Raw genomic sequence first — 25012 nt, forward strand, 5'->3', positions numbered from 1 at the left:
AGCCAAAAATATTTAGTGAGTGACCGTAGGTTGGGTATCTTTGTATAAAATGAACTCAGGTAATCAAGAGCCACCCTGAAGGGTGGCAAACTCTTATTAATTTTGAGTACAGATGTAGAGAGATGGCCAAAACTATTTCACTATGTCATTTTCACTATGACATAGATAATTGAACTTTTATTTTGTACTCTAACTTCCTTCCTTCCCTCCAGCATCTCTCTTTCATAAAACACATCATTAGTAAATCAAAATGTCTTTTAGGTGTTGTTGAAACATTTTTGTTCTATAAGATTTTCTTTTGGAATGGTGTTTGTTAATTAACCTAACAGTTTTGATTTTTATGTTGACTATCAATTAATCACTTTGTAAAAACATGCACCAGGCTTTAAGGGACACGCAGTCAATTAGTATACAATTAGTACAAATCACTCATTCTCAACCATGGTCCTCAACCTTCCTTAGTATCACTTGATGAGTTTTAAAATAAAATAATGTGTTGTCTCCTAATCAGAGCAATTAAAACAGATTCTCTAGGGGTTTTAGAGAATCTGTTGATTCTCTAAATCAACTGATTTAGAGGTTGAGCCACTGGTGTTTTTTTTTTTCCCAAGTTCCCTAGTTAATATTAATATGCAGCCAGGGTTCAGAAGTACAGACGACATAAATTCTTCACCACTACTGGGGCTCCAAATTAGAATTACATGCAATGCTAGTTATACACCAGAAACCACATTATCTGTTTATTTGAGAGATATTTTCACTGAAACAAAAATACCATAGGAAAAATATTTCTACATAATTGAAATTAACTAGAAACTATTTTATATTATTAACCAAAAAGTTACTTACTATGCTTGTATTCACAAAAGAAGTATTCAAAATATTGCCCTCAGCTATAGTGACATGAATTATTAATTTTTTTTTTAAACAAAGGTATTAGAGAAGAGCCTGCCAAAAGAAAGTTGATGATCATATCTTATTTCTCACACAGGACTTTAATGGTGGTTTGAATTACAGTAACACTGGATGATAGAGATATGTGATAGAAATATTATGCATATATTTTATTTTCATTAACTTCTTTGCTGTAATTTTCAGAGAGGATAGGAAAATGCAAAATATATTCTTCATCAGTTTCGGCGCATTGGTAGAGCTGAGTCTTCTCTAATAAACAGTATGGCATTAAACTCTCTCTAACTATACCCTACTGATATGGTTTGGATTTGTGTCTCTGCCCAAACTCATGTCCATTTGTAATTCCCAGTGTTGGAGGAGGGGCCTAGTGGGAAGTGATTGGATCATGGGGTCAGACTTCCCCCTTGCTATTCTTGGCATAGTGAGTAAGTTCTCGCTGGTTGTTTGAAAATGTGTAGCACCTCCCCCTTCACTCTCTTCCTCCTGCTCCCAGCCATGTAGTATGTACCTGCTTCTCCTTCATCTTCTGTCATGATTGTAAGTTTCCTGAGGCCTCCCCAGCCATGCCTACTATACAGTCTGCAGAACCGTGAGCCAACTAAACCTCCTTTCTTTATGAACTACCCAGTCTCAGGTAGTTCTTTATAGCAGTGTGAGAACAGACTAATATACCTGCATATGTTAATATTGGCATGCCTACATATTTACCACTTTGTAGACTGTGTAGAGTGACCATTCAAAAACAAACCAGGAACTGCTGTATATTTAGCTATGTTAATCAGAAAAAATAAAACAGGCAAGATTTTCCTCCCCAAGTCAGTTAAGAGCAGTTGTTAAGACCAGACGCCTCTATTTCCCCCTCATTATTAGATGGAGTGAATTCTGAAAGCACAAACTCAGAAAGTCCACAAAAGTCACATTTCTGGCAGATGAGACAAGAAGCCACAGACTTAGCAGAATTTTACAAGATGAAAATTTCCATTTTTGTCTCAGTTTTAAAAGACACGAATTTGGTAAAAGGTGAAGAGAAGATTGTGCTTTTTTTACAGCTGCTGTGGACTTGCTGCCTTCGCCAGTGATGACTCAGTGTCTCATTAAAGAGAGAAGCCCCTGCCTACAGCTACATCCCACAGGCTGAAGCCTCGGAGACGGGTGGCAAGGAGAGGTTATAAACTTTGATGTAGCTTCAAAGAGAACTCTTAGCTGAAGGTAGGGGAGTGCAGAATTCTGTTATGGAAAAGTCAAAGAAGATGGAGTAATGGACACAGTGCAAGTTAGCTATGTCAGGAGGATAAATGGATTTATTTGTATTCTGCTACCAAGAGGGCCTTTTCCTAGCCATGTTTAAGTGGGTATTACACAGTTGGATTTTGAAAGAAAAGTGAGATCACATATGCCTGTTAAAGAATGGAGCTTGGAATGTGGAGATTTTTATTTCTTAGTAATATCTTTATTATTTTATAGTCTGATTTTTCAAAACTAGTATTTAAAGTGGTAATGTCACATGCTATGGAGAAAAGCAGAGAAGGGTGTCTGAGTCTGCCTACAGAGTGTCCCCTGACCCCAAGTCCTCCTTCCTAAAACCAAAAAGCCCTGGAGAAAGCCCAGCATGCAGAGGGGGACTCTGGCAGTGGGAGAGGGCAGGAGGCCCTGGGAGGGCCTGGTGGAAGTGGAGCCTCTACCACCCCCACTGGGCATGGGAGGCCTGGCGAGGTAGTGGGAGGTGGGCTTGGTGTCACTCCTGGAGAAACACCCACCTCCAAGCCCAGTCACGTGGTGTGATTGCTGGAAGGTGTCAGTTTGTCACAGTTTGCTGGATGAAGAGGCCTCAATTCCTATGAGCTGTTGGCAAAGAGTCACGGTTCCCGGCCACAGCACACGGGCCTCTTCATGGAGAGGCTCACAACGTGGAGAGTTGCTTCTCCTGGGACAGGTGGTGGGAAACAGGAGGGAGAGAGAAAAAGAGGAGAGAGAGGGAGAGAGAAAGATAGAGAGGGGAGAATAAAGAGAGGAGAGAGGAAAGGAGAAAGAGAGGGACAGACACAGAGAGGAGAAAGAGAGAAAGAGAGAGAGGAGAAGGAAGGAGGAGGGAAGGGGAAAAAGAAAGAAGGAGACAGAAGACAGAGAAGGAAGGAGAGAGTGAGCCCACTCTGGAAGCTGCTTTCATAGCCTCACCTCCACAGGTGCATGCCATTACTTCTACTGTATTCTAATTCCTTGCAAGTGAATCACTAAGGCCAGTCCACACTCGGGGTGGGGGAAAGAGATTAGACAAGGGCAGGAATGCCAGGTGGGACCACGGTTAGGTTTGTTGTTACTGTTACTACTTTCATCCCACTTTAAACAATATAAACAATATTATTTTCTAAATATATCTCAAACTTACTGCAGACACCTGTTCTTAAAGCCCAAAAGGCATGTGTATAAGCAGTTAAAAGCACAAAGACAGTGAACATCAGGGAAGGTATAGTAGAAAATGTTATCTTTGAACATTATACATATTTTAATATCACTTAGAAGAATATTATAATGTACAATTTCATACTTCGTTGTCCTTGTCAAACTTAATAGATTACCCCAAAATAACACATTTTCTTTTTACATTTCTATTATTTAATGACATAGTTATGAAAAGAAGTATTCTGTAAAATATTAGTGAGTATGAAATGTAAATTTAAATAATAGTCAACCTTTTATTTTACAAAAAGCAAATTTGAATCAATTCATACTTGTGAAGATCTGAAATACTGGGACTTCTTTCTTTTTTTTTTTTTTTGCAGTAATCCCTTCTTTCCTTGTTCCTTCTTATATACTTTCAGAGTTATTTCTTATTTCCATTCATCAAGTGATAACTTTGTTTTTGGAGCCCCAAAGTATGTCTACAAAGTAACAAGCTAGATGGCCAGGAGGTCTTTCCTAAATGCATTGCCCATAAACTCAGAAACACTCAGTGATTGATTCCCTGTCCTCTTGGCAGCAGGCAACACTGGGACTGCTTTTTAGATGCTCCCATCTCCTGGGGAGACCCCTCACCCCCAGCAGAAGGCCACCTTGCTCCCTCTAGTGAGTGCCTATGTGCCACATTGAGCTGGGGAAAGTCCTCTCCGTGTCCTCAGCATCTCTCACACTTGTTTACATGATGGAATTCAGGTCGCATACTTCTGAAAGATTAATTCTATAGCAAGGCCTATAACAAGCTGGGCTTATTCAGCACCAACTCCTCAGCACAACTCCTGCCTATTTATCTAACTTAACCTCCCGTTCCTCTCTACCTTGTATTTGTTTCTCCAGCCACACGGGTCTTCTCGCATCTCTGTGAATACCCCAAGCTTGTTCCTGACTCAGTACCTTTGTGCATGCCACCCTTCACCTCATCTGTTCCTCTCCCGGATCTTCACGTCATTAACTTCTGCTCAAATGGCACCTCTTCAGAGGGCCTTTCCTCTCAACACCTCACACTGTCACTCTGCAGCCGTCATCGCTTAGATCACTACCAGTTGTTGTACGATGTAATCATGGACTTACTTGTGTGTTGTGTCTCTCCCATTAGAATATGAGCTTTATGATGGCAAACACTTTGGTCGCCATGACACCCCCAGTGACAAAGTAGTTCTCTTTTATAACAGATGTTTAAGGGAGCAAGTACTAAAATATATATATATATATTAAGCACACAGGAGCTTTCCATGAATAAAATGAGTTAACAATCATTGCAGGCCAATTACACACAGGCAAGACATTGGACTTTTTATGCGCTCCAACTCACTGAATCTTCACAGTTGTCCTGTGAGCAAGAAGTTGTCATCTTCACTTTACAGAACAGAGATCAACAGCATTAACTTGCCACGGTAACAGCTAGGAATTAATAGTCAGAATTTCAACTCTGGTTGTTGGGTGGAAAGCACGCACGCTCAGCCTTACGCCATACTGAACAGCATTTTGTGAGAAATGAGACTTAAATTTGGCACTGGACATTGCATGGAGATGGCACGATCTGCAGGGCTGGAGGAACTTTGTTCGTGTTCCACAGTGGGGATAGAGGAAGGAAAGTAGTTGCAAAGGGATAGTGAATGTTTCCGACACCATAGTCCACAAAGCACTCTTGGAGTGGGGAATGGTCATTTCTATAGCCCCTACCACAGCTGTCCAGGCTCACTGATGCTTGTAGAGAAGTGTCCTCAGAATCACCAAATATTTGGTATCTGCCCACTTGTAAGCCTTGCCCTGGGTAAATAAACCACCTAAGGAATGTGGTATGACATAACCTACACAAGACTTTTCCTTCAGACGCTTGTCATCATGACAAAACCTCTTTTTCATTACTACTGATGTCAACATCCCCAGTGCAATTAGAATTTGGGGAAATCATATTTTTGTTGTATAATTCAGTCAGGCAAATGCTATAACTACAGCTATTGCTATTAGCCCATTGACTTACAGCCCTAAAACACCCAGCTTAATTATACTCACTCAAGGAAAACACACAGTAGTGGTAAGTAAACATCACTGAACCTATGGAAGGCCATATTTACTTCATCTTTCCTTTCAAAGATGTTTATTTTTTAAACAATATAAGATTGTTAAACTCAGGATGTATTCAAAATATCTTAATTTTCTCACTTGCAGGGACTTTACAAATACCCCTTACAATTTCCTACCCCATAGAAAAAAGGATCATAAGTGGTACATGGGAAACATGTGTCCATTTCACTTACAGACCTGCCATTCCCATTTTAAAGCAGGACAGATAGACAGCTCTCTCATGGGTTGCATATCCTCAGCCTGAGTGGCAGTGTGCTGGCAGAAAACACAATCGACTGCTTCCCGCTTTGCTACCTCTTTGTTCCTTTATTGGCAGAAGGTTTTTGTCTTCCTTCATTTTCCACAAGAAAGTTCCTTTGTGTCTTTCTTTCTATTCATCTCTTTATGTTTTAGTATCTTCTAATACTGAAATAACCCCTTTTAAATTACAGTGTGGGTCTGTATTTAATGTCTCTGTGACTGCTGAGGATGCTGCATAAAATAAGTCCCAAATTAACAGCCGGACCCTGCCCTCTCCAAGTTACAGAGTAACATTCACAACCTTGTTGAGTTCTTGGCTGACATCCTTACCGGGTTTGGAAGGAGCAAGGATAATCAATCCGTTTTATAGATAAAGAAAGTCCATTTTGATATAAACGAATGGAGAGGACTAATCCACAATGTACAGTAATTAACATTTATCATGTTCTCAACATATACCAAGTATATACATTATATACAGTATCTAATGCTCACAAATGCTCATAACAGCCTTTAATGTTGTTATTATTATTACAATTTAATAATCTGAGGCAACTTGGGCACTGTTGAAAGGTCTGTTTGTCTAGTAAGTGACAGAGCCAAAAATCTGAACTCAGTTTTGTCTGTTCTGAAGCCAACCCTTTAATTGCATTTCTTTATTGTCTTTTAATAAAGGAAGGTAGAATCTTATCAATGGATGAACACATTTATTGGTTATCTAACATAGGAAGGTATTATTAATATGTTAAGAACTTGGAGAAATTGGATATCAACAAAAGCAATGATAATGAACATTATTTGATAATATATGTTCAGTACCAAAATATGCTTACTCACAACAGGGATATTCAGAGCCTACTCATCCCGGCTCCAGAAAGCCCATTTTTAAATTTTAATGAATTTTTCAAACTAGTTGTTGAAAACAGACGTTATTAAAAGTTAAATTATATAAATTTAGATTATATTAAAAACAAAGATAAATATGTAAATCACATTGCTTCCTAATTATTGTACTTTGTTGTACTGCTGTCTGCGCTCTTGAGATTTATTCCACTAGGCATTGCTGTACAGTGGAAGTACTACATAACAGCACGCTGCTGTGCCTCTCTTCCTAACCCTGTGTTCAGTGATGCCACATAAGGAGCTTGAAGTCAGCCATAACGGGAGTATTTACACCACAGAAACTGGCAAAAAAATATAGATCAGGGCTTGACTTATGATTTTGTTGACCGTCTAATCTTTAAGTGATGGAGAAAATGTCAATAAACCACATTAAATTAAAAAGTGCTTCATATATGTAGCTGTTACAATTTGAGTAGCATGACAAATGAGGAAATCTTCCTCCAGTATTCAAAAACCATCACCTAATTTGGGAAAGAATTTGCTGATATCATTGACTTGACAAATGAGTAAAGTTTTAATACATATCTTCAATGCTTCATTTTCTTCTTACTTGTTAATGTAACTGAAAATAACAACCAATAAAAGTTGGGACTACCCTTGTTTGTCAGTTGCAACTATCCTTGTTTGTCAGTTGCAACTACGGTTTGACTACAGATATAGGAGTTTGCAAGAATCAGCAAAAGCATCCATGAAAATCAATGGACAATATGGAATTAACCATAAAGATTATTGTATATTTCTATTTTTGTAAAGTGCATGCTACACATCCTTCATATCAGTAAAATGTATACTAAGCTTAGGGATGCATCTAAGTCTGTTGTTGTATTAGTCTGTTTTCACACTGTTATAAAGAACTTCCCTGAGACTAGGGAATTTATCAAGAAAAGAGGTTTAATTGACTCACCATTCCACATGGCTGGGGAGGCCTCAGGAAACTTAAAATTACGGCGGAAGGGGAGGCAGGCACCTTCTTCACAAGGCCACAAGAGAGACAGAGAGACAGAAGGGGGAAGAACCCCTTACAAAACCATCAGATTTCATGAGAACTTACTCCCTGTCACAAGAATGGCATGGGGAAACCACCTCCATGAGCCAGTCACCTCCCTCCCTTGACATGTGGGGATTACAATTCGAGATGAGATTTGGGTGGGGACACAGAGCCGAACCATGTTAGTTGTTAACCATTTATGTATTCATACCACAGGATTTGGTAGGAATAAGACCGTTGTGACTACTGTGATCTCTCCTCCCATGGGGCATAAAGTCATTTAACTAATAATAGGGAATTTAGAATACTTGATCCATCTAACATATTCTTAATATTTGGAGAAAATATGAGTGTGTAAAAGAGCTATCCTGAGCACTAATGAGGCTTCAAAATTGTTTCTTCTGCTTTTTTTTTTTTTCTGCTTTGAATTTGATATCATCTAGGCTCTAGAAGAAACTCTGGGATAGTTTTAAGGGCCCTCAGAGAATCATTGAAATGGGTATCTCTCCTTGATCTTGAGAAACTGTGGTAGGGAACTCTCCTATCTGTGAAGAGGTCAGCGACCCATTTCCCATCACTGGAGGCCCTGAGGTGGCCAGGCATGTGCAGGTGTTTCTGCAGAGCAAACCATTGCCTGTGAGTCATGTGACCACAGAAAGGCTGGCTTTGGAGGACTGTAGGGACTGTGATGGTGGTGGGAGGTAGGGGATGGGGGGTGGTGATGCAGCACTTTGGAGAGCTTCAGAGCTTTCCTGTGGCCTCTGCAAGTCTTTCTCCTACCAGGAGTAGAATAAGAGGGAGAATTCAGCTCTCAGCAACTCATGCTTCGCTAGAAGTATTTAGCAAGTTGCAGAGCTCCTTTACATAGTGAAATAGGCTTCTGTTGCAATTAATAAATAGTGAAAGGTCACATTTTATATAAACAGTAAACAAATATATAAGTGAGTCCAGTCCAGTTCATATTGAATGGGAGTAGCTTTGGGAGAAGATAATTTGCTTCACATAGAATATACTTTTGGGAAACAATGTACCCTCTCATTTGGTAATGGCAAAAGACCGCAAAGCAAATTTTGTTCTGACCTTATTGGTCATCTCCATACATCTCCATGTATCTGATTATAGGTAAAATCAATAGAAATTAGATGATATTTTAATAACTTCTAATGACATAAATGTGGGCATTATTTTTATATTTTATTGTTAATTTTAGATTGCTAAATCTGTATTTCAAGCAAAATGAACATCGTTTTGTTTTTACAATGAAGGATCTAACTCATATTGCCTCCACGACACATTTGAAATCTAAGATAAAACACAACGTTTACATTGCCATATCCCGTTCCTGCAGCTAGAGAGAGGTAATGGCCTCTGAGTCAAAAGTTCATAATTAGTTGGTAAGATTGGTCAAATCTACAATCACAAAATTTAATTAGGCTAAGCAAAAAGTCCCTTCCCCAGCCCACAACCTAACTGTGTAAATACATGAAATGTTATGTATTTACCCACAGCTAACTAGATAAGCTTGATATAATCCATCACGGTGATGCAGAAGCCAATATGCTGCAGTGATCTTGGCACTAACGACATTGCACGAAGAGTACTGAGCTCCTTTCTTATCCTATATTGACAAAATAAAAAAGCTTCCAAAAGCAGGAAGACTAGAATGATGAGTGGCCTACAAAAGGAAACATGTTTATGAAAGGCTTAAGGAATTGAGGATGTTTAGATGAAACATGTTTATGAAAGGCTTAAGGAATTGAGGATGTTTAGATGGCACAGACACAGAAAGAACTCTAAGCTGCCTTTCAATACTTGAAGTATGCTCATGATGAAACAGGATGTGTGGCTCCCTATGACAGGCGTGAGCCACTGCGCCCTGCCCAGGTATTTCTTTATAGCAATGGGAGAACAGACTCATATACCATGTATATGACTCATTGATTGTCACATGTTTAAGGAAATCTTTCCTTCATTACATTTCCACGATTACATCTCCCCTGAACTTCTATAACCCCAGGATTTCCTTTCTGCATCAGGGGAAAGTGTGCCCTATGCTTCTGAGCTGCTCCTGGCCACGTGTGCCTTTTCCCCTTTTCCTCCATAAGCTGATAAACTTTTTGATGTAAAGTCTTTTTCTTTATTCATCTTTGCCAAGCAGAGTGTCTTACAAGTAACGGATCTTCAATAACTATTTTCTATAACTTTACCTGGTAATCAGGAGTCCCAGGGATCTATCACTGAAGAACTGAATTCATTGAATTTCTGCGCTGGATCCTCTGGCTTTTGTAGGTCAGAGATCAGGAAAAACCGCAAATGCTGTGTACAATGTCCTCAAGATCTGTCACTGAGCCTCTGGGGTCTTGCAGATTTGTCTGTCCCCTGAGCCTGCTATCATGCCCACAGGACATTGAGAGGCATGAGGACATTGCTGGAGTGAGTGAGTGAATGCATGAGTTTCTTTTGTCTGACATTAGTCTAGGCCTAGACTTGTCATAGAAAAGGGAATGAACAAATCAGTAGAAGAGTCAAAAATGACAAGTCAATTCACAATAGTTACTACCAGAAGTAAAATTAGTTGCAGTTACCTGCTTTCAAATGGTTTCCAATGTTTTTATTAAGGTAGAGGAGGCATATATAGTTATCTGAACTTAATAACCAACTGACTAGTTTCTCACTTAGCACCTATGAGTAGTAGATAGTCCATGCAGACAGTACAGCAGCTACTTGAAAGCGAACAATACTCCTCATCTTCAAGAGGTTTGAAAGTATCATTTACATACCAAATCACATATTTAACAATGAAATCCACAGCTCTACACTCCATGAGAGCAAGCACTATGTCTATTTCACTCTCTGCTTTACTGTCATTACTTGGTACTTGATAGCAACTCAATAAAGATTTTCTTCATGAATAAATTAGTGGTATTTGAAGAGAGGCATAGCTCTGAAACATGGAAGAGACATGGAAAGTTTAATCAAGAATATAGAACTGAATCTGGGTCTTTGTACTGCATCATATACATAAGCTAAGATAGGAGTAGAAGTTAAAATGAAGTCGGGTTGTCATGTTCATGACTAAACCTATATCTAAGCATCCCACAGACTCCAGTTAAATTAGGGATAATTAGTTAAGATACTCGGGATGAAGTCATCGTTAACATTGTTGCATATAGCCAATAACTAGTTCTGTGAAACTGTCTGCTGTGAATGGTTGCAAATGCACTCCAGAAGACTGAGGTTTAAAACGGTTGTCTTCTTTTGATGAGCTGCCATCATTTGTAACACAGACCCTGCATGTTGGAAATACAGTACTGTCACATTTTGAAAGTCAGGTAAGATTATTTGATATGGGCAATGTTCTGTTAAAACATGAACTTTTTCAACTTCAGTGCAACTCGCTAGCAGAGTTTTGATTTTCAGAGCACTCATGAATTTGTGTTATAATAAAATCCCCCACTCTGATTTTCCAGCTCTGTTTCTTCCATTCCTTAATTTAACATGGAAGCAGTGATGCTTTGTAAACAGACTGATGTATTGGCTTATTTAGGATAACTTAGCAGGTCATGAAAATGTTCCTTCTCTCCTCATTGTCCTTACATTTTAAAAATCCTGATTCTGAAGTCAGATGACCTGGACAACCATGATTTTCTGAAATTACACATGCTAGCTATCTGTGGCTGACAGCAGTGTGTGGCTAGCTCTGTTTTCTCCTTTCTTCCAGGGTTCTAATTTAACCACATTACCCAGGGTTAAGGAGTTAAGGAGTTCTATAAGCCTGGGTTCTAGCCGATGGAATGCAAATGACGTTAACATGCTTCTCTTCCAAGTCTGGGCTGTAAAATTTTCCCATGCACGATCCTCTCTTCTTTTCTTTTCTGTCACATTTCGAAGATGGTTATCTCCACGGGCTTATTGGAGCCTGGGTTCCTGAATCACTTCTTAGGAGAAGGTCACCTGCCCTGCATTGAATGGAAGAGTTTATTGTGCGAAGCCACTAAAATTTTGGACTGGTTTGTTAGAGTAGTTAACCTATCTGAGCTAATTCATGGGTAAAATTAAAAAGTAAATAAATACAAATGTTTTAAACTTACAGTCCTGCTGTCTGAGGTTCCCAGGGGAAGGAGGCAGGTGACATCAGGGTGGAATTAGATAGAAATCTCTCTCTCATTTTACCTTCCCTCTGCTCTTACTCCACACTGTGTACCTTCCCTCCATCCCATCTCCACGCCCATGCACCTTCCAACCTCCAGTCCCATCCCTGGATCCTGCCACATCACATGTGACCTCAGTTCCCTCGATGAATGCTGTTGGCTGCGTGGCCATTCTTCTCCTCCCCTATCCCATCAGCAATGATTTTAATTTTGCTCTACAATCTGACTCATGTACTTTGGGAGAAGCTGCCCCCGTCCTCAAATCCTGATGATGGTCAAGTTCAAGGGTACTCATAGGACCAAAATGGTACAATCAGGTAAATCTCCGAACTACTGCTGGGGAGTCTGGAAGAGTGGGCTTCTCTCTCTATTTTTATGGACAGCATGATGTGCAGGACCTGCTGAGAGTGTTTTATCATCTGGGGGTAGGCAGCCTGTGAATGAAACCAACACATATTGAAGTCACACTGAGAAAATGGCAGAAGATACAGAGAACAGGGGCAGTAGCCACTGATTAAGCTGACCCTAGAGATGAACCTGCCTCTAGATTTCCAGTTACTTGAGCAAATAAATCACTAATTTCATTATCAAACTAATAAAATAAATATATTAGAAAGGAATCTTTACTATTGCAGTTCCAATTTGGAAATTTCAAGGCACAGGTTTATAGGCATAAGGACTTGTCTCTCCCCGCCTCTCCCGCATCCTCCATTTCAAGAGTATCCAGGTATGGAAATATATCAGGGGCAACAAATCACATTAATTAATTTATTTGCTATTTCTGAAATTGTGTACAGGCTTAAGATCCAAATAAATAAATAAATGAATAAATAAAATTCAGCATGCTTCTACATATTGTAACAAGTAAAACAAGCTATCATGAACAGCATATGGAAGGCCAGGCATGGTGGCTCATACCTGTAATCCTAGCATTTTGGGACATCGAGGTGGGTGGATCACCTGAAATTAAGAGTTCTAAACCAGCCTGGCCAACATAGTGAAACCCCATCTTTACCAAAAATACAAAAATTAGCCAGGGGTGGTAGCATGTGCCTGTTGTCCCAGCTACTCAGGAGGCTGAGACAGGAGGATCACTTGAACCCAGGAGGCGGAGGTTGCAGTGAGCTGAGATCACGCTGCTACACTCCAACCTGAATGACAGAGCAAAACTCTGTCTCAAAAAAACAAACAAAAAAGCATATGGAAGCTGCAGCATTTCTTTTGGACGATGTTGGACGATGCTTATACTATACATCAAACCAAAACAATAGTCATCTCCACGTATCTGTTTCTCTGGAAGAGTTAATTCACTTCCAAAATGTATGTGTTATAGGCACAAAAACAATCATTTCCCTCAGAAAACATGATTTCTTTACACACATGCAGAAATGTAACTTATGATAAGAATAAGCACTGTTAATACAAATACATCAAATAGGCTACCTGATGGGATAGATGCTCCATTTTTTCCCCAATATTATCAGGGTGAAAGACATCCCATGGAACCATATTAAGTTGCATAACCCACAGGCGCTCTCTCTCTCTCTCTCTCTCTCTCTCTCATTCTTAAGCAACATCACTTCATTGTACATGGGGACCAAAACAGATCATGGAAATCAAGGTGAAAAGTCACTTTACAATGTTTGCCATAATTGTAACGTATGCACATGGTTCCCAGTGTGTGAGTATTTGGTTAACAAAGAGAATCACAGACTCGTTGCGTGTATAGGAATGATTCAGGGCTGTACCTTTAAATGTTTAATAGTAGGAGCAAGGACCTTTAATGGGTAGCAAAGGTGAGGAAGAGTTGAGGGGTTTTGGTGACCATCTGTCCTGGCTTGCCAGGGACTTGCCAGAGACTTTGGAAAAGTACTGCATCCCTTGAAACCCTTCAGTCTGTTCCTGACCAAGATCATTGGTCACCCTAGGGGAACTCCTTTTTAACCCAGCAGCAGGGCTCAATTCTTTGTGTATAAATGTGTAGGCTCCCAACACCCCACAAAATGCTAACAGACACACACACACACACACACACACACACACACACACACACACATCTCAGTGGACTCACAGTTGATGTGTCTATGAAATGAATCTTTGCTTGATTATTACAGAAAGCATTTTGATTCACTGAAGTTTCTGAGCATGCAGGTGACCACATATTTTTATGGCCACTATAACCAATTTATTTATTAATGGTTGATACGGTTTGGCTGTGGCCCCACCGAAATCTCATCTTGAATTGTAGCTCCCCTAATTCCCACATGTTGTGGAAGAGACCCAGTGGGAGATAACTGAATCATGGGGGCAGTTCCCCCATACTTTTCTCATGGTAGTGAATAAGTCTCATGAGATCTGATGGTTTTATAAGGGGAAATCCCTTTCATTTGGTTCTCATTCTCTCTTTGCCCGCCACCGTGTAAGACGTGCCTTTTACCTTCCACCATGATTGTGATGCCTCCCCAGCCATGTGGAACTGTGAGTCCATTAAACCTCTTTTCCTTTATAAATTACCCAGTCTAAGGTATGTCTTCATCAGCAGTGTGAAAATGGACTAAGACAATGGTCTGTACAACCCATCCAATTATATCTCTTTCCTAGGAAAATTATCCTAGGCCCTTTTCCTAGATTAAAAACATGTTGGATAAACTCAAATTTTCCCTCTGCCTAATTGATACACACAGCTACCTCACAGCAATAGCTGATGCCAATCTTTTGGTTGTGTTGGAACATGGTTCACCCGGCCTTATGGAATTGTGGCCAGCTTTAATTTGATTAATGCAAAGAGTACATCTGGTAGATTCAGATACAAATATTTTAAAAAGAAGAATGTGTCTTTAAATCTTTTTCTCCATTCGTGATATTCAAATCCCCCAGTGTGAGAATGAGGTCATTATTTTTGTGTTATAATTTTTATTTTCCATTATGACTTCATAGAATCTTTTCAATTGTGGCAAATTAAATTTTTTATCAATTATATTGCCAACTTAATAATTATCATGGTCATTTTATGTAAGCAATTAATTAACAAAACTGGTTTATAATCATTGGTTTATATACAGAAATGATTTGTTTCTCAGCATGTTTGTTTTAAAGACTGAATTAACTAACTTCTATCAGAAAGCCATTGGGAAAAGCATATGAGGTGAGGGAATATGGGTTGTTTTGTTTTGCTCTCCTTCATAGCTACTGCTATTGTGTAAACTTTATACAATTTACCATAAAGGGAGGAATGTGTCTTTCTTTTATTTGTTAATTACACAAAGAGAACATAATTTCATCTTCACTAAAAATTGTTTGGTCAGAAATATAGGGGTATATGTGAGGAAAAAAAAGGAACAAAGTGCCCTTTGCAGCAACCTTCACCGCAACCCAACATCAGTTTCGACCCCTTGCCTTAGAAGGAACAACTATTAATAGTTTGATATTTATCTTTCCAGGTGTTTTCCTGTGCATTTGTGTTTATATGCATCTGTGCAGCTACTCAGGTTTTTGCCTTTATCATTTCTAACATATGCATCGAATTACATTACTGTTATTCTATTGTTTAATTTGCTTTTTGGATTGATGATGTTTTAGACTTTGATGGACTTTGACATTGTTCATTTTAAATAGCTGCGTGCATGCTTCATAATCTAATTAACCATTCCATGATCACTGGATATTCAGGTAGTTCCTGATTTTTCACTCTTTCAAACACTGTTGCACTAAATAGGCTTGCATGAAAGTTTTTGTATCACTGTAGGAGAGATTTCCTAAACATTGTCCATCATGTGAGAAGGCAATTTACCTTTTGAAAAATGTAGTCAAACACACCTTTATGAAAGCTAGATGTTATCCACCTTTTTTATTTTGCCAATCACTTGATTACCAAAGTGTTTTGATTCTGGCTATTTGATTATTACAAGATTAAGTAACTTTTTAATATATTTTTCACCAATTACTCTTCTTCCATGAATTGCCTATGCATAACTTTTTCTAACTTTCTATTGAGTTGCTTGTCTTCTCTGCATTGATTTGTTAAATTTCTCTAATATTCTTTATCTAGCCATATTACAGAATTTGGTTATTATTAATATTTAATTACCTTTGTTCACTGTATTTTTTAAAACATTAATTTAACTGCCAAATGTAAAGATTCACTTTAAACAACAATTTTAAGGCATGCTGTAGACTTTATTTTTTATTTATTTATTTTTTTAGACAGAGTTTCACTTTTGTCACCCAGGCTGGAGTGCAGTGGCTCGATCTTGGCTCACTGCAACCTCAGCCTCCCAGGTTCAAGCAATTTTCCTGTCTCAGTCTCCCTACAGGCATGCATCACCACACTTGGCTAATTTTGTGTTTTTAGTAGAGATGGGGTTTCACTATGTTGGCCAAGCTGGTCACAAACTCCTGACCTCAGGTGATCCACCCGTCTTGGCCTCCCAAAGTGCTGGGATCACAGCCATGAGCCACCATGCCTGGCCTACTTTTTTTTTTGTTTTTTAATGGAAACATATTTAAAGACATTTTTACAATACTTTGGTCTATGAATATGAGGTAATTTTACCCATGTAATTAATATATTGAAATTTTTTGGTCATTTTTTTCCATAAGTAAATTATATAAACATAGACTAAATAAAAAGTATCTCATAAAGAAATCAGTACCGTAGCATCTGTGTGGCAAAGTCTAAAACTATAGAAAGGATATGATTTGCGTTTTCTCTAGGTGCTGGGAAATAGTTATTTCAGATGCTCTCTTGTTTCTTCTCTCAAGCTTCCTGAAAATAGTATAAAGTGTTATAGCCTCTATTCCTAAGATCAGTAAAGAAGACATAAAGGTTAAATGCTCTTGCAAAGCAATCTAACAAAAGGCAAGGTTCAGCAATCAGGGCGACGTAACATACAAACTGCATAAGCGAGCTGAAAAGGTGGTGAGAATCTCCTTCTTTCCATTCAGATAGCTTCCTTCTATCACACTGATGGGTGTACTCACCTGGCTAGTCCCAGGTTTACTTTGGCACAGGTAAGAAATACACGTGTTTTGTGGGTTTGTTTACATAAAGACCTATCCCTATTATGTTATCATTTAAAATTAATGAAATTACATTTTTATTCTACAAAAGGATATAAGGTTGTTCATCACAGGTTGAGTGCTCTGTGTACACCCCACCTGGAAAATAGATGGCTACCTGTACTGTTGACAAGGTTTCACACCGTCACGCAAACATTCATTTCCTTTTTGGCATCATTTCTTCTTATTTAGGTTATTTTCTCACTACTCTTAAGTTTCCCACCCTCTTGTTTTTGGCCTTCATTCTGTAGAAGAATTAGATCCCTATAACTACGTGTGTGTATGTAGATAAATAAACACACACATACATGGATACACAAACATAAATACTTATATATCTAAACTATGAATACAGAAGTACAGTGTTATGGGAAAAGCACACCACAGAGGTTGACCAAAGTCCCAGCACCTCACAATGCAATTTTTAGGGTCAAAAAAACCCACAGGAAATAAAAGTATGCACAAAATCACCTATGCAAATTATTAACACAACTCCTGTCTATTGCTCAATAATACTGCAAAGTTTTCTTCAGATTAGGTTCACCATGAGTATTTCCCAGAGATATGCATGACTGTAGCATGGGCTGGGCTGTCTGGCAATGCCTTCATTTCTGATATGGGATGTACAGTACAGCCTGGCTTGTAGTGTCTCTAGAACTCAACCCACCCAACTTCCTACACCAGGATGTTTACCGAGCCAGTGTTACTTCATGTTCTCATCTGTTTTGTTTTACACCTGGGTTAACTGAGGTCCACAAGTCAAGTGTTCCACTGTAGGGCCAGGTATACAATTCAAGTTTCCCCATAAGCACTTGGCTCTTGGCCAAGACTCCCCTCCACCATGCTTTGTGCATTTTGTTTTCCCTCAAAATAGAGCAAGCAGTCAATAAATGCTCACTGATCACGTATTTGGACCTAACAATATGACAGAACCTAGAAATACAGTAGTTAATGTAAAGCTTACAGCCTAGGTGAGAATGTAGATACCACATAAAATTGGACCAAAGAGGTACAGTCAAGCAAAGTGATGTAAGAAGTACAAATTGATAAAAGAGAGTCTAAAGGGGATTGGAAACATGAAAGGTTGCCAGGGAGGTGGAGGGAAGGAGATGGAGGTGGGCATGACCATAAAAAAAAACAACATAAAGAATCTTTATAGCGAGAGCGCTGTGTGTTGTCTGTGGTGGTCTATACAGTAGTCCCCTGTGTATGTTAAAACACATATACAGTAGAGACCCTGTCTATGCTAAAAAAAATGTATTCCACTCATTGGAGAAGGATGCATTCCAGGATCCCCAGTGGATGCCTGAAACCACAGATGGTACTGAATCCTATATGTACTGTTTTCTTCTTGTACACACATACCTACGAAGAAGTTTAAAAGATTAACAACAATAATGAATAATAAAGTAGAACAATTATAACAATATGCCAGCCTCACTCCACCCTTGTGCTTTGGGCCATTCTTAAGTAAAATAAGCACTACCTGAACACAAAGACAGCAACACCACACCAGTCGATCTGATAACCGCGATGGCTACTAAGCGACTAACAGGCTGGTAGCATAGACAGCCCGGACAAAGGGAGGATTCACGTCTCGGGCAGGACAGAGCCAGATGATGTGAGATTTCATCACACTACTCAGAATGATGAGCAATTTAAAACACATGAATTGTTTTTTTCTGGAATTTTTTTTTTTTTTTTTTTTTTTGAGATGGAGTCTTGCTCTGTCACCAGGCTGGAGAGTAGTGGCGCGATCTCGGCTCACTGCAACCTCCGCTTCCCAGGTTCAAGGGATTCTCCTGCCTCCGCCTCCCAAGTAACTGGGAACACAGGCATGCACCACCACCACACCCAGCTAATTTTTGTATTTTTAGTAGAGACTGGGTTTTACCATGTTGGCCAGGATGGTCTCAATCTCTTGACCTCATGTTCTGGCCGCCTCGGCCTCCCAAAGTGCCAGGATTACAGGTGTGAGCCACCGCACCCAGCCTATTTCTGGAATTTTCGATTCAATATTTTGGGACCATGGTTGATGGAGGGTAACTGAACTCATGGAAAGTGAAACCACAGATGAGGGGGGACTACTGTGCCCAAAGCTACCTATGTGATAAAATTGTATACAACACCCACACACACACACATACTCGAGGAGTACAAACAAATCAGTAGAAACACGAATATGATTCTTGGATTGTATCACTGTCAGTATCCTGGTTGTGATAATTGTACTATATTTCTGCAAGATAATACTGTTGGAGGAACCTGGGTAAAGGATGTGTAATATCTCTCTGTATATTGTTACAACTACATGTAAATCTACAACTATTTCAACAAAAAGCTCAATTAAAGTGGGACTAATAATTTATCCTGATGAATTAGATGATATTCTTTAAAAAGTCATATTTAAGCTAAGACCCAGAATTAGAAGTTAGGAGGGTTAAGAGAAGTCAGGGTCCAGGGGACGGTATTCCAGTCAAAAGAAGCAGTGTGTTTGGAGGCACGAATAAAAGTTTCATTTGCCAAATGTAGGGAGAACAACAGGGTAGTCAAGAGTAACTGAAGGGCCAGATTTTTTAGGGCATTAAAACCATAATAAGTATTTTGTTTGCTTTTCTCTGAGGGTAGTTTATTTTAAGGATGATAGTAATGTGATTAGATGAGTGTTTTTCTATTATCTCTCTGGGTGTAGAGTGAAAATTGGATTCGAAATCAGGAATAAACTGGGAGTGGTGGTGCACGCCTGTGGTCCCACGTCCTTGGGAGGCTGAGGTGGGAGGATGGTTTGAACCCAAGAGGTCCAGATTGCAGTAAGCTATGATCACACACTGCACTCCAGCCCGGGAGACACAGTGAGACCCTGTCTATGTTTAAAAAAAAAAAAAGAATTTAAAAAAATAGAAATTGAGAAATTGTGGGTGGGAGTACAGTACTTTAGTAGCTACAGCAATAGTCAGGGGGGTTCACGAGAACTAAGCAAAATGATGGTGATGTGGCTGGAGGAAAATGGGTAGATTTGGGAGGTCTTTAAGAAGCAAAAGACATGGAGTTGGTAATTGATTGGATAAATTTATATCTTGCAGAGTGGATAGTAAATGTTATTTACTATAACCAGAAACACCTGAAAAAAAGTCAGGGGTCCAGGGATCAGATAGTATGATTGATTGTGGAAAGGCTTTGGAGATGAATATGTTTATAGTATTTTAAAATAGGTCCTGTATCAAGGTTTGAACTTATTTGTATTTCTGTATGTGAATTTCTGTGTTGCAAATCACCCATGGTTTATAGAGTCATATTTAGAACAGAACAACTAAGAGTGTCCTTTTTTCCCCATTATATTGTACTCTACACAGGTAATGACAGCAAGTCACCCAAAGATGTAAAGTCATGATCATCGTTGGTCTATGTCAGGCAACAGTTCCAAGAGGACAGAGACCTCCAGAGAGGGAGGAGACGTGGAGAACACTTGTGATGTTACAAGCAATTCTGTTTTATTATATAAGGAAGAAATATGTTTCTTTTTTTTTTTTGCAAGCTCCGCCTCCCGGGTTCACGCCATTCTCCTGCCTCAGCCTTGGAGTAGCTGGGACTACAGGTGCCCACCACCACGCCCGGCTAATTTTTTTTTTTTTTTTTTTTTTTTTTTTTTGTATTTTTAGTAGAGACGGAGTTTCTCCGTGTTAGCCAGGATGGTCTCGATTTCCTGACCTCGTGATCCGCCCGCCTCGCCCTCCCAAAGTGCTGGGATTACAGGCGTGAGCCACCGCGCCTGGCCAGAAATATGTTTCTTATAACATCACTTTCAATTGTGAATGATGCAGGATTATTTGAAACTGACCACCTATATGAGGCCATCAAAATGTAAAAGTTTCTATTCCAGGAATAATCAAGCTTTTTTCAGAATATTGAAAATTTATTTTCTATGTCAAACTTTTGATCATTCCTTGAACTGAATTATTAATGGTTTCCAAGAACAAATCCTAAAGACCAATTTTACTGCAATCTCATTTATCAAGGCAATACATGCACTATACACTATGTTAATTTTTAAGTGGGGATCAAAATAGGAAAAACTATACATTTTAATACATTAAAATATTGCATATATTTTGGTAAATGTACCACCTGGACTTAGTAAAGTACTAATATGAAGTTAATAAAAATTATGTATTTAGCAGAAGAGTGAACGAATGATTAAGTTAAAGGTATTTCAAGATGTTAGGTGTGATTTTCAGTATAGAAATTCATATTAAAGTATAACTTTAAATATAAAACTAAATTATTTTGATTACATTAATTTTCTGTGAGGTTTTAGTCAAGGATAAAAATAAGGAAAACTGGAAACTTTGTTGATAGTTATATATATATATATTTTTATTATTATTATACTTTAAGTTTTAGGGTCCATGTGCACAATGTGCAGGTTTGTTACATATGTATACATGTGCCATGTTGGTGTGCTGCACCCATTAACTCGTCATTTAGCATTAGGTATATCTCCTAATGCTATCCCTCCCCCCTCCCTCCACCCCACAACAGGCCCCGGTGTGTGATGTTCCCCTTCCTGTGTCCATGTGTTCTCATTGTTCAGTTCCCAACTATGAGTGAGAATATGCGGTGTTTGGTTTTTTGTCCTTGCGATAGTTTGCTGAGAATGATGGTTTCCAGTTTCATCCATGATTTTAAAAGAAATGTTAAAGGCAGTATCAGCTATGCCAAATTTAAGTAGTATATTCTTAGGTACGTTCTGAAGCATCCGTCTCAGATTTCTTATGTATGAAATAATAATATTCTTCTTCATTTGGTAGTTTGTAGTAGACAGAATTCTAAGATGGCTCCATGACCTCTACCACTGATGTTACTCTCAAGATTATGTAACATTACATGAAAAAAGGAATCGTGCAGCTGTAGTTAAAGTTACTAATCATTTGACCTTAATATAGAGACATTATCTGGGTGGGCCTAACTTAATCGCACTCCAGTTTCAACTGGCTGGCAGTAGAAGAGGAAGTTAGAAAGAGTTGAACCCTGCAGGGGTGGTATTTGATGTGTAAGAAGTTCTGGCCTTTGAAGATGGAGGAGTCACAAGACAGGAAATGTGGGAGGCCTCTGCAAACTGAGGGCAGCCCTCCACTGGCAGCCACAGGCAAAGGAAAAGTAATTACTTGGGACACAGCCAGGGACAATGGAATTGCTCCAATAGCCTGAATGAGGCTAGACGACTGGGGCTGCAGAGGAGGATGCAGACTGGCTGAGACCCTGAGCTGAGAACTCAGCCAGGCTGTGCTCAGGTATTGCAAGATAGCAAGTGGGGGTCATTTTAAGCAGTTAAGTTTGTGATAATTTGTTAGTCAGCAGTTGAAAATGAATATATAGTTTTCAAGATGGTCTAATACAAATAAGGTAAACCCTCAGAGCCCTGTGTCTGTACAAGTGTGTGCTTAATAAATGTAGTTCCTTCTCCTCTTTTGCTACTGGACTATATATATATATATATATATATATATATATATATATATATATTTATATATTTATATATACAAATATCTCACACTCCAATTTCAAACCTAAGCTTCATGGCAAACTATGCTTTGTCGAGGAACTTTCTGACAAATGAATTAATATGAGCACATAACTCTCTATATGTTATAAGTAAGAATAATCATGAGACCTCAGGACTCACATTCAGGCGGGTCTCCAACTTCCTAAGCCAGTGCTTGGGTTTTAGAGAGAAAGTGTACTTCATTTGAAGGCTAATAAAATAAGCATAAAGTACATGCAAAGACATGAATGTCTCAATATCATATTTGTACATGTATATAATATATGCACACAAATGTATACACACTGGTACGTATATAAAATTAACATGTTTGCTGACAAAATAAGCAGACCTTAGAATTTTTTTTTTTTTTTTTTTTTTTTTTTTTTGAGACGGAGTCTCGCTCTGTCGCCCAGGCCGGACTGCGGACTGCAGTGGCGCAATCTCGGCTCACTGCAAGCTCCGCTTCCCGGGTTCACGCCATTCTCCTGCCTCAGCCTCCCGAGTAGCTGGGACTACAGGCGCCCGCCACCACGCCCGGCTAATTTTTTGTATTTTTAGTAGAGACGGGGTTTCACCTTGTTAGCCAGGATGGTCTCGATCTCCTGACCTCATGATCCACCCGCCTCGGCCTCCCAAAGTGCTGGGATTACAGGCGTGAGCCACCGCGCCCGGCCTAGAATTTTTTAAAAAGGGAAATTCATTGCCAGTATTTTTTGGAGCTATCTCTTCACTTACATTTATATGATTCCTTATAAAATTCTGTTCATTTCATAACTGTAGTGAAGTCAGTTTGCTTAATAGTTCCTGTTTTGTGTGATACAGTTCATGTAATGACTTTGTAGGATCATCAGAAAGTATAAATGAGTATCAAAATATATTTTCAGCCATCCAAAGGTAGTATTCATTTCACAGACTCTCAAAATCATCAAAAGCCTTGAGAAAACTTTCAGGCAAGAAAACAAAGGGTGTAAATCGTGCGTTGCCTCAAAATGTCAACACATTTGTTAAAACTAAGGAAAGTCGGAGTCATATACACATATACGTGTATAAACTACAATATAAAAATGAGAATAAAAAAGGCATTTGCAAGTCTTCACCAATGAGAATGTACATGGCATTAGCATGCCTTTGATGGGGTTCAGGACATGCTACCCAAAATATGACATCTTGGCATTTGAGAAAACAGCAGAAGCCGGAAGGTCACTCACATCTTCCCCTGTCTCTCTCCTTTGAGGCTGGTTATAAAACCTAGGAAGAACGTTCTGAGCTTTCCCTGAAGCAGGTCATAATATTCTTATGCACTCCCCCAATACACAGAAGAAAGGAGCAGAAGACACAGGGAATCCAAGAAGAATCTGAACAAACAAACAGACCTTGTTATGTTTCCCCAAGTCCATACCAATAGGTCATAATGTTTTGTCCTCCTATTTCTCCACACTGTGTATTCTTAACATTAAACCTGGCATAAAAATACTCAGGTTTACCTGTTCTTTTGGGGGGATGCCTTCATTTTTGTGTGAAGGCTCCAGTGTCACATAAAACTTACATTAAATAGATTTGCATGCTTTTTCTCTTGTCATTTGTTACAGGTGCCTCAGCCATGAACCTAGCATAGAGGAGGAAAAATATCTTCCATCTATGTTACAGACATTTTATTAATATCATTCTCAAATTTACTTTCCTTTTTAACAATGGCCCAGGATTATTGGAAACAGCATCAAGAATTAAACTATCACAAAAAGCTGTCCTAGAAGAGCTGCTCAGAACATGATGCTTTTGTTCCTAATGACTGAATAATCATTTTTAAGAGACTCTTCTATAGCACATATATCAGGAGAAGAATGATGAAAGGCACATTATGTGCTAGACACTACACATACTGTTTGAGTATTTCTGGTGAAATAACGGCTCTTTTTGCTGGTATCCATAGAACAGAACAGGGTTGGCCTTTCTGAGAGAGAAGAGGGCACTTCTTAAAGCAGTGGTGCTGAGCATGGCATCTTCCAACCTCCCAGGGTCCCAGGGCATGCATGGATACCCTCAACCATTTGCAAGTTTTGGTGGGTAGTTCCCTGCAGCTTGCTGGGGAGAGGAATCGTCATGCTCATGAGCTTCTGTAACATCAAAAAAGTTAATAGTCACCACCCTAGGGACATCTGAGAAACTACATTCACTGAGGTCCAGTGATCTGTTTTGATTTTTTTTTTCTAAATTTTAATAGTCAATAATTCACTTTCGTACATAATTTTTATATGTATGAAACTACATCCTGGTGAAATTGCAGTTTTTAAATAGAACCCCACCAGTGACTATGCAAATGGGAGACAATATGTGCATTTTACACACTTGGGTAACAACAGAGTCATTTTCTTTTTAGAACATCTACGGCACCAAATGCACCAGCGAATGACTGTGGTAACGCAACTGTAACAGGATAAGATCATCTTGCAAAGCAAGATGGTGGCTCACACCTGTAATCTCATTGCTTTGGGAGGCACAGGCAGGAGGATCACTTGAGGCTAGGAGTTTAAGATCAACCTGGGAAACGAAATGGGACCCCATCTCTACCAAAAAACATTTTTTAAATTACTTGGGCATGGCAGTGCCAACTCCATGGGAAGTTCAGGCAGGCGGATGGCTTGAGCCCAGGAGTTCAAGGCTGCAGTGAGC

At 39.1% G+C, this 25012-nt stretch overlaps 1 protein-coding gene across 1 annotated transcript in view, besides 1 other annotated feature; it reads right to left on the reverse strand.

The window, feature by feature from the left end:
- The window catches only part of NALF1 (NALCN channel auxiliary factor 1), a 703987-nt gene that overhangs the window by 85988 nt on the left and 592987 nt on the right, over window positions 1-25012 (reverse strand). The window lies entirely within an intron of this gene.
- Window positions 9265-10464: an enhancer, noted in NCBI's record as "CDK7 strongly-dependent group 2 enhancer chr13:107911110-107912309 (GRCh37/hg19 assembly coordinates)". NCBI's record gives its function as "activates an origin of replication core promoter dependent on BRD2, BRD4, P300/CBP, MED14 and CDK7 cofactors, with strong dependence on CDK7, by STARR-seq in HCT116 cells {active_cell/tissue: HCT116}" and the evidence as "EXISTENCE:reporter gene assay evidence [ECO:0000049][PMID:35650434]".

The sequence above is a fragment of the Homo sapiens genome, chromosome 13, assembly GCF_000001405.40.
Source record: "Homo sapiens chromosome 13, GRCh38.p14 Primary Assembly".
NCBI classification, from domain to species: Eukaryota; Metazoa; Chordata; class Mammalia; order Primates; family Hominidae; genus Homo; species Homo sapiens.